The following is an 11502-nucleotide window of genomic DNA, read 5'->3' as shown; positions in this document are numbered from 1 at the left end:
AAAAGATGGGTTCTTCTGGCAGGGCGTGGTGGTGCATGCCTGTAATCCCAGCACTTTGGGAGGATGAGGCGGGTGGATCACCTGAGGTCGGGAGTTTGAGACCAGCCGGACTAACATGGTGAAACCCCGTCTCTCCTAAATACAAAAAAAATTAGTCAGGCATGGTGGCAGGTGCCTGTAATCCCAGCTACTCAGGAGGCTGAGACAGGAGAATCACTTGAACCTGGGAGGCGGAGGTTGCAGTGAGCCGAGATCGTGCCATTGCACTCCAGCCTGGGTGACAAGAGTCAAATTCTGTCTCAAAATAAATAAATAAATAAATAAAATACCTTCTTCTCACACTCATTAGGAAGGCTAGTATCGAAAAATGGAAAATAAATGTTGGTGAGAATGTGGAGACCTTGGAAGCTTTGTGCACTGCTACACATGCTACAACAGAGGTGAGTATTGAAGACATTGTGCTACATTATGTGAAATAAGTAGGTCACAAAAGGACAAATAATGTGTGATTCCACCTATATGAGGTACCTAGAATAGATACATTCACAGAGATGGAAAATAGAAGTTACCAGTGGTTGGGGGGAGAGATTAATCAGGAGTTATTATTTAATGAGTACAGTTTCTGTTTGGGATGATGAAAAAGTTCTAGAAATGGGTGGTGATAATGATTGCGTAACAACGTGAATGTAGTTAATGCCAATGAATTGTACACTTCAAAATGATTTACATGGTAAATTTCATGTTAATGTATGTTTTACCACAATAAAAATGTACCTTCTTCTTTCAATCATGCACATGGGTCTAGATAAGCTTACATTGTTGGTAGAGATGATAAAAGAGAAAATAGTGAGAGTCCATAATTCTGTTCCGAGGTGGGGACTAGTCAATATTTTCCTCCAGTTTGGCTAAAAATTTGAAAACAATCAAATTTGTTTTGACATTTATTAAGCTGATGAAAATGATGGGATGGTACAGTCAAAAAGGTAGAAATTATAGTTTTTTTAATACTTTAAGTTCTGGGATACATATGCAGAATGTGCAGGTTTGTTACATAGGTATACACGTGCCATGGTGGTTTGCTGCACCGATCAACATATTATCTACATTAGATATTTCTCCTAATGTTTCTTCTCCCTTCTTGAAGTGTTGGACAGTTTTGTATTTTCTTTGGCTCTGAATGCATGCAATCTTGATAGAGGCAGACCCATCTACTTCTGAAGGTCAGGTTGCTTGCGGCAGCTCAGTTATTCAAGTGTGCAGTGTGAAGAAGGAAGGAGACTGGATACAATAATTACTTAAGCAGCTACTAGTTTCTTGACCAGAGTTAAACCGCTTAATCTTCTGTGCCATGGTTTCCTAGCCTGCGTGTCTTCTCGCTTCAGTTTGTAAACTAAGATTGACCCTAAATCAGAAACAGATACCACAGTATTAAAAAATATTACTCATTATTTTACATTGTGGGTTTTGTACTCTTTCTGCATCAGATTTTGACTGTTTGTATGGCTGGCTCTGAAAGCTCTAGACAGTTGCTCAAAGTGAGTATTCCTGTCTGCTCAGGTTATAACCTCAGCCCCCTCTCTTTGAGAAGCAGATGCCAACTTGGGGTGAGAAAGGGCCACCACCCTCTCCAAAATTCATCCCTTTGTGACCATAAAGCCATGTCTTTACAGCAGAAATGACTACTTCCCCTAGTTAGCTCTATGTTTCCTATAAAATATTTTACTATTCAAGATCAAGCAGAGCAATGTTGTTCTGTAAGTTTGTGATTTGCCTCGGAAACCACAGGGGTTGTGTGAGAATTTATGTTCAGAGCATTTATAACTTTATAAAACATGAGGTAAAAGCTTTCCTTCACAAAAGAGGTGAAAATCCTGACCTGTGCTGAGAAATGAATAGGAATGGAGGATCTGTGCATGTGTAAAACGACACTGTCAACTAACATTTTAATTTCACACCATGCATCAGACAAATTCGAGGCAACCAAAATGCAATATATCAGAGATGAGGAGAAATCTTTATCAGGCTATAAAAGTAACCCTCTGCACACTTACAATAGTCCATCATGGGACACCCAAGATGGATTTATACCAAGAGTAAAGATTATTTGCACGTTACAACTCACCTAGGTGGTACTAGCTCAAATTGGGACCAGTATTCTCTTTAATGATATTAAAGTGTGAATGTCACATAGATGTGATAAACAACTTGAGTTTCAAAGACGCTTCTGAGAGTGGTCAAAACCATTAGCTACTTTGAGAAATTGTGGCTATTGAAGATTTAGTGAACACTATCTGTACCCTGTTGGGTAATTCAGAAGTTGAGGTTGGTCCTATGAGAGAATATGGTAACTAACAGAGACAGCAACCGATGGGAGAAACATTCAATAATCAATTATTAAATACACTACTGATACAGTTTTGCTGTGTCCCCACCCAAATCTCATTTCGAATTGTAGCTTCCATATTTCCCATGTGTTATGGAAGGAACCTGATGGGAGCTAATTAAATCATGGGGGCGGTTTCCCCATACTGTTCTCATGGTAGTGAATAAGTCTGACGAGAGCTGATGGTTTTATAGGAGGCTTCCCTTTTCACTCGGCTCTCATATCTCTCTCTCTTGCCTGCCATGTAAGATGTGCCTTTTGCCCTCCACCATGATTGTGGGGCCTCCCTAGCCATGTGGAACTGTGAGTCCATTAAAGCTCTTTTTCCTTATAAATTGCCCAGTCTTGGGTATGTCTTTATCAGCAGTGTGAAAACAGACTAATACAACTACTACTTTTCTTGTTCATGCTAGAAGTAAGCACTGCTTAAATTTAGCATTTTCATCCTTAAAAGAGAAAGCTAAATAAAATGTTCACCAAATAGAAAAAATTGCAGCTGTTAAGGCCTGGCAAATTATATCCAGAAGAGAATGGTTTAAAATAAATCTACCAAACATCTTGTAGCTTGATTCAAAACAGCTAAATCGTTCTGAATATGTGAATGAACAGCTAATTCAAGGAATATCAGCTCCATTCTCCTGAGCCATGGGTGATTTCTCTTATATCTTCCATGGTAACTAGTGGTCCATCTGTCCGACAAGATGGAAATCATCAAGACCCACTGGGGGTTTGAAGGCCCAGTATTTCCCAAAACTCACCAGCTAGGACCTTTGAAAATGGGAATACACTAAAAATATAGACAACCTGTTATAGGTGTTTCTGTCCGTGAATTGGGAACTTCTCAGTATGCTAAAGAGCTAGGAAGGACTTAGGCCATTCACAGGGCTGCAGACTCTGTTGGTGATACTGAATTCCAGTTTATAAATCGACAGAAGGAGTTCCTTTCTCCACATCCTGGGAACCAGAGAGTTGCCATTCAACATTTCATGGAAGAAATTCAAGTAAAATAGCTCCTGATCTCGTACAACTATGGTTAGTGGTAGGAATATATGCATCAGAATTTTTCGAACTGTTAAAAATAGCAGGCTACGTTATTGGTGAACATAAGGAAGATTAGTCCCTAGCTCTCATTTCAGAAGAGTTACAGTAACTGTTTAAGAGAAACAATGAGAAAAAAATTGGAGGGTGAGTTACATGTGTTTACAATCTAACTTATTCCTGGGTGACGCCTCCTGAACTTCACTTTGAGGAAATGAATCTATGTTTTGATGCAACATTATTATATCCTCGAGCTCAGCTTCAATATGAGTTCTTAAGATTTTATGCATAGATTTAACTGAGAGATGTTGTGTTTTTAGAGAACTGATGGGGATGACTATAAAGTCAGATCATGAAGGGAACAGGAAGTTTTACTGCTAGTGGATGAATGTGACTCCCAAATTGTTTTCATGTTATTACAAAGTGACAGAAATGCAAGGAGTTTAGGAGTATAAATTACATGTATGAAAACCATCATGCTATTTAAGGGCGTGGTGGAACATGGCTGTGTATATTTTTTTCTTTAACTGAAAATTACCAGTTTGCAAATGTCCCTGTTGTAAAACTGTTTGTGAGTCAACGAAACGATTGCTCACGACAAAGCCTAGGCAGTTAAGGGCAAGTTAGAAATCATGGAAGGAAACAGAATTATACTTGTTAAGTATTTCTCCTCTCAAAGACCCAGATGGGGTGATTTGTGCTCTGGCAGGTTGAGAATGAATCCTGAAAGATGGTGGACATTTCTGGACCCCATAGATTGTGACCCACAGAGAAATAAATAGTCTAGGACTTTAAATGTATGCAAGAAAAGGTTCTATACCACAAATTTCACTGATGCTGTATCATTAATCAAAATGGTCTTGAGGTAGAATTAGATGACGCAGAATGTGTTTCAGTGTATCTGGATTCTCACAGCCACTGCATCGTGAACTTCTTGTGCATTGCCTATAATTTAAAATGTTGTGACAGTTATTTCATTGTGAGACTACTGTTTCTTGTCACATTGATTATTTTATATAGGTACCCAAATTTTAAATTCTACTGTGTGCCCTCTTTAAGTTTCCTTTAAATGCAACAGGAGTTTTCTGAGAGTAAGCTGCACGTATTAGTTTGCCAAGGCTGCCATAGCAAAGTGCCCAGACTAGGTGACTTCAAAAATAGAAATTGATTTTCTCCTGGTTCTGGAGGCTAAAAGTCCAAGATCAGGGTACTGGCAGAGTTGAGTTCTTCTGAGGCCTCTCTCCTGTGCTTGCAAATGACTCTTCTCTTGCTGCCTCTTCACCTGGTGGTCCTGATATGCACATGTGCCCCTGGTGACTCTCTCAATGTTCCAATCCCCTCTTTTTATAGACATCAGTCAGATTGGATTGGATTAGGACCCATCCATAGGACCTCATTTAACCTTAATTACCTCTTCAAAGCTCCTCTCTCCACATACAGTCACTTTCTAAGGACTTCAAACAGGAATTTTTTGTGGAGACGACAGAATTCAGTCAACAACAGCATACTTCTTATATTTAAGCAAACCGCACAGGATAAGAATTCCATGAGGCCCGTGCTGCATCTGAATACTAGGGCCCTGATCACCTGATGCGTGGCAAGAGGAGTAACTTAGCCAAAAGGTACAAGGAGGAGACACGGAATGACTTTGATCTCCAGGGAGAGTCCCAGCCTTTCTCTAAGCAGGTCAAGCATGTCTTGAAGTCGGGTTGTACTTGTACCGCTCAGAGATTTTGACAATGATCTCAAAGGTTGTTTTCAAAGAAGAGGGTGACCATATCATGTTAGTGGGTCAAACATTGAACCATACCTGCACAGTACACAGTACACTGGTTTCCATCTACTGGCTATACCTAAGTTTGAATCTTCTTTCTCTTTCTTTCTTTTTCTCTTATCTTTTCTTTCTTCTTCTTCTTTTTTTTTTTTTAACAAGGTTTTTCTCTTTTGCCCTGGCTGGAATGCAATAGTGTGGTCATAGATCACTACAAACTAAACTCCTAGGTTCAAGCAATCCTCCCACCTCAGCCTCCTGAGTAGCTGGGACTACAAGTGCGTGCCACCATGCCTGGCTTTTTTTTTTTTTTTTAATTTTTATAGAGATGGGGGTCTCACTATGTTGCCCAGGCTGGTCTTGAGCCCCTGGGCTCAAATGATCCTCCTACCTCAGCCTCCCAAAATGCTGGGATTACAGGCATGAGCCACCACACCTGGCCTAGGTTCAAGTCTTTATCGTAGAGTCTGCCGGTTCATTTTTCGTCATTGCCAGTGGCCTCATGCCATCCCTCCCTTCCAATGGTTGAGCAATATAGCTGGCCAAGAAGGGTTGTCTGAACAATACCCTGCCAACTGAGGAGAGGCTATGGGCCCCTATTTGGGGACTAACCTTGCTATGATTGACAGTATGAAGGTCACCTGTGAGTTTATTTTAATTTTTCCTCAGTTACCCCATGAGCTACTATGAGAAGGAGCCAAAACCTGAGTCAGGGACTTGTGAGCAGCTTTGCAATAAAACCAAGATCCAATGACACTGTCTCCAGAGGTACAAGTTATCTGGGAAGAGGAATGGAAAAGGCAGCTCATGCTACTCTCAGCTCTAGGCTTTCTGGGAATAAAAGACCTGCCAACTCTTGTAACCCCCAGAGATGTCCTTTTTGGCAGTTGTTCAAATGCTATATCTGCTGAAGGTGTCTCAGCCTGGGAAAAAATAGCACTTCTATGACTACACAAGCTTGTACCTGTTAACAAGAATAAGCTCTGTCTCATCAGCTATTGGGAGATTATTTATAATGGATTTGGTTATATTTAAACCTGTTTCTGGATGGAATAAAGAAAGCTGTATAAAACAAGGGGGATGTTTTTTCCATCCTGCCATTCGGGTTTGACAGTAAGTTGAGGTCCTTTCTCTGGTGGGTCCTATGCGGAAAGCATCAGTGGACTCTCCCTATGATAGATGCAACAATATGAATCCAGCCTTAACAGGGACCCCAGATGGAAAGCAAAGGATTGCCAAGACATGACAAATAGCAGTTTATAAAGTTTTGTATCAGACCGTAACTACAACACAGACAGGAGCCTAAGACTCCCAACTTGGGGCAAGACACTGAATCAGGAGGCCCAATGTATTGAGTTCTGTCAACAGAATATACTCCTGTGCAATTGCCTGCACCCTGCCAGGAAGCAGATGGTCAAGTCTGTTTTGAGTTCATTACACAGTACATTTGCATAATTTTGCAATGTTACCAGCACTACACTGATGAGGAATAGGCAGAGCTGTTTGTGTCTTTTACCTTCCCAAGAAGTTTGTACTGTGACTTCATGGACAGCGATATAGAAGCTGTATGCTAAAGGTACACTTTCAAATGCTAAGAAAGACACGTAGCACCTTCATACCAGCTTTGTCACTGCAGTGACCCCTTGGAACTTTAAAGATACTATAAAGAGATCATCAACCTAATATTGACTCTAGTTTGCAGCAACAAAGAGAGGAACCTTGTTTCTTCTTTTGGTAATACCAAGGAGAATTCACAAGCAAACTGCCACCTGGGGGGCCTTTTTCAAAGACTGCATATATTTGTCCCAAATCACACACCCGTAAAACCACAGATGACAAGATGGTGCCGGAGAAAGGGAAAAGCTCAGTTTTGAGAGTATAAACAAACTTGTTTTACTACTGCTCAGAGAGGAAGTTAAACCATCTAAGATGGCTGTACAGGCGGGGACGTCATTCCTAATACCTGTGAGTAGATGTGAATTCCGCCATACCTAACCAAACCCACCTAAAAACTGCTCATTTCATACCAGAGAGGTCTTTTCTGTTCTTAGAAAACTATGGAAAGTTCTAAGAAAGCTAACGTTGTGGCTGACCCCATTGGCCAAAACACCTCTAACACTACAGTCATGTGTGAGCTCATGCAGAACAAACTAAATGCTTTGCAATCATCTCCAACAAAGGGAAACCGCCCTGTGTGGTGCTTCTGATGATTTTGTTTATGCAATAGCTAAGATCACTCTCAACACAATGAAGGTGATACCCTGCTGTCTCCCTAATGATGGATCTCCATATTGAAGAGAAGGCACAGGGAGATAGGAGTCATTGTGTCGAAAAGGTCATCCTTAAGATATCCAAGAGAGTGTTGGCCAGGCATCGTGGCTCATGCCTGTAATCACAGCACTTTGGGACGCAGAGGCGGGTGGATCATGAGGTCAGGAGTTCAAGATCAGCCTGGCCAAGTTAGTGAAACTCCATCTCTACTAAAAATACAAAAAATTATCTGGGTGTGGAAGTGGGTGCCTGTAATCCCAGCTACTCAGGGGGCTGAGGCAGAAAATTGCTTGAACCCGAGAGGCGGAGGTTGCAGTGAGCTGAGATCAAGCCACTGCACTCCAGCCTGGGCGACGGAGTGAAACTCTGTTTAAAAAAAAACAGAAAAAGAATGTCTGGAGCCTTTTTTAGAAAAACAATTTCTCCAGTCATTAGACTTTTGATCAGTTGTTAATGAAGTAAACAGAGAGGCTGTTGGAAGTCCTATGAAGAACATCCCTAATTTGCTGAATAGAACACCATCACAACCATGACTCAGCAATCAGATGCAAGCATGACAGTTGCCTTTCACCATTTGGACTTCAAAGATGTTGAGATGATAAAGAATTATGTGATTTTGCTTCAGGGAATCTCACATATACATGGAAAGGGCAGCATAAGGAGGAAGAAACCTCTTCTTCATGAGGACTGAGCCTGAGCTACTTAACTGGGACCCTAGCAATTATCCATGTGGGATCCTGTCAGCCAAGAAGTCTTGTTCTGTGGGAACTGACACTGTAGAAAGCTAATGAGCCCCAAAACTTGTCCCTGAGTAAGTTGAAACAGCTTAAAAATGTGACATCATGACCAGAGGATGGGTCATTTGTGGATAAGAATCTAACCTATCTAACCCAGGGTTTTGCCACCCATACTGTTAAGCCCCAGTCTAAAAGACAGTGATCAGTATTCCATGTTCTGTCCTCAGGAAACCATCCCTTGAGTCCTGGTAGGTCAGATGATATTTGGGCTGCCTCAGGGTAAATAAAAGGGATTGTCCAGCCACTGTTTCTCCAGCAAATCCATTAATAAAAAGTGAGATATGGTATTATCTAAACTTACAATTTCAGCTGGGCATGGTGGCTCCCGCCTGTAATTCCAGCACTCTGAAAGGCCAAGGCAGTGGGGGGGGGTGGATCACATGAGGTCAGGAGTTCGAGACCAACCTGGCCATCATGGTGAAACCCTGTCTCTACTAAAAATACAAAAATTAGCTGGGTGTGGTGGCGCATGCCTGTAGTCCCAGCTACTTGAGAGGCTGAGACAGGAGAATCGCTTGAATCCAGAAGGCGGAGGTTGCAGTGAGCCGAGATCCCACCACTGCACTCCAGCCTGGGTGACAGAGCAAGACTCCATCTTAAGTAAATAAATAAACTTAACATTTCAGAAAAATGCAAGCTCTAATTGTAAGCAAAGGTTAACTTCTCTATTTATTTATTTTATGTGAACTTTGGGTGTGGAGGATTGAGTTAATCATGCCATACATTTTACATTTCTATCACAATCTTTCAGCTGCTTAACTGGCTCTGAAACCTGTCACCATGAGAGGTGAAGCCAGCTGGACATCCTGGGTCAAGTGGGGACTTGGAGAGCTTTTCTGTCTAGTTAGAGGATTGTAAATGCACCAATCACTGCTCTGTGTCTAGTTAAAGGATTGTAAATGCACCAATCAGCACTCTGTAAAAGTGCACCAATCAGAACTCTGGGTCTAGCTAAAGGATTGTAAATGAACCAATCAGCACTCTGTAAAAATACACCAATCAGTGCTCTGTGTCTAGCTAAAGGATTGTAAATGCACCAGTCAGCACTCTGTAAAAACACACCAATCAGCACTCTGTAAAATGGACCAATCAGCAGGACGTGGGCAGGGCCAAATAAGGGAATAAAAGCTAGCCACCCACCCCCCGCCACCAGCCAGCAGGGCGACCTGCTCAGGTCCTCATCTGTGCTGTGGAAGCTTTGTTTTTTCACTCTTTACAATAAATCTTGCTGCTGCTTATTCTCGGTCCACACTACCTTTAAGAGCTGTAACACTCACTGTGAAGATCTGCGTTTTCAATCTTGAAGTCAGGGAGACCACAAATCCACCAGGAGGACAACTCCGGATGCACCACCTTTAAGAGCTGTAACACTCACTGCTTTGTTCTTTAACCGGGAGGAAGAAACTCTGGACACATCTGAACGTCTAAAGGAAAGAACTCTGGACACACCATCTTTAAGAGCTGTAACACTCATTGCAAGGGTCCGTGGCTTCATTCTTGAAGTCAGTGAGACCAAGAACCCACCGGAAGGAATAAATTCCGGACGCAACCACATCTGTATTGATAAATATTTCCTTGATATTATTTGCCCATTCTCTTTTACAACTCTCTTCTCTCATTTGGATATTCTTACATGTCACCTATTTTCAATATATGCATTCCAAACCCCTAAAAAATGTGCAACAACTTCATCTATAGGACTTTTGGAGATTGTACAATGGTAGAAAAATTGAGGCTTTTGATAAAAAAAGATATTATCAGAATGTTCTATGTGTTGATTGTGGTGGTTATATAATTGTAAATAAGATGGTTTGTTTCATTGTATGTGAATTATACCTCAATAAACCAGAATTTTAAAAAAAAGTCAAAATAATTCGTAAATAGGATTATTCCTTGAAAAAATTGTTATGGTCTAAATAGTCAGAAAATTAGATACAGTCCTTAGAGGTGACTGTATTTAATATTACCAAACAGTTCTACAAAGGTTAAAATTATGGTGTAATCTAAACCTTATTATTATGTTTTGTACTAACATTTACATTTTTATAAAGCATTTTTGGTTTAAAAAGGACATAATGTTCTTTGTAAATGTACCTAGCTAATGCACTCTCCCTGCCTATTTATAATAGCTGTCCATCTATAGCCTTATTTAACAATTTAACATTTTAAATATTTGTTCTTTCATAAATAAATTTAGTGAATAAAATATTAGTTTTCACATTCCTCATTAACTTTCACCACATCTTACTCTTGTCAAGATAAATACACCTTTATGCACCAACTGTCTAATGCATATCAAACTCCGAGTTATATCTAGAATATTTGCCTATGTTTGAAGATAAGAATGACTTGCTTGAATTACTCGTGTTACACTGTTTGGATAGGATGATAACCTACATGATTGGCAGATCATGGGTCTGTGATCAACACCGGAGTTCAGGGATACCAAATGTGATGTTGAAGCAGACATTCTACTATTTGGTTTTCCAAAAGCCAAATCCAAGTCAAAGCCAAAAGGCAGATTCAGGGTACAATCCTATTTTGTGTTCATCTTATGTAACTACTGTCAGTACACAGAATAATCTTGGGAAGATTCAATGGATTTTTTAAATTCTCATGATGACCATCACTGATGCTAAGCAGGAGTGGGATGAGCCGCCATTTAATCAGCCATTGCACTGGTGATTTTTGGTCCACTAATGCATCAAAACTAGAACAGCTCCCTGTAGCCATTCCCAAATAACCCTGAAATGATATGAGGAACTTAGGCTTTCGAGAAGCATTGAAACCGTTCACTGTATGGCATTGGTCTTGAGGCAATTGAACCTATTCCAGACAGAAAAAAGCAACATGTTAAGGCACATTTCTTTAAATAATTTTTGGAAAAATTTGCAAGTACATGTATGTGCACATTCATATACAAGCTTTAAATTTGTATTAAGGTGAAATTCACATAACATAAAATGAACTATTTTAAAGCGTACTATTCATTGACACCTAGTACATTGACAACGTACAAGCAGCAGCTCCATGTAGTTCCAAAACATTCTAATCACCCTCAAAATCAGCTATTCGGGAGGCTGAGGCACAAGAGACCCCATACCCATGAACCAGTCACTCGCCATTCCCCTTCTTGGCCATGGCAACCACGAATCTGCTTTTTGTCTTGATGGATTTACCTATTCTGAATTTTTCATGTAAGTGGAATCATACAATATGTGAACTTTTATCTGACTTCTTTC

This window comes from Homo sapiens, chromosome 8 (genome assembly GCF_000001405.40).
Source record: "Homo sapiens chromosome 8, GRCh38.p14 Primary Assembly".
NCBI lineage: Eukaryota > Metazoa > Chordata > Mammalia > Primates > Hominidae > Homo > Homo sapiens.
Note: the sequence above shows the minus strand (reverse complement) of the source record.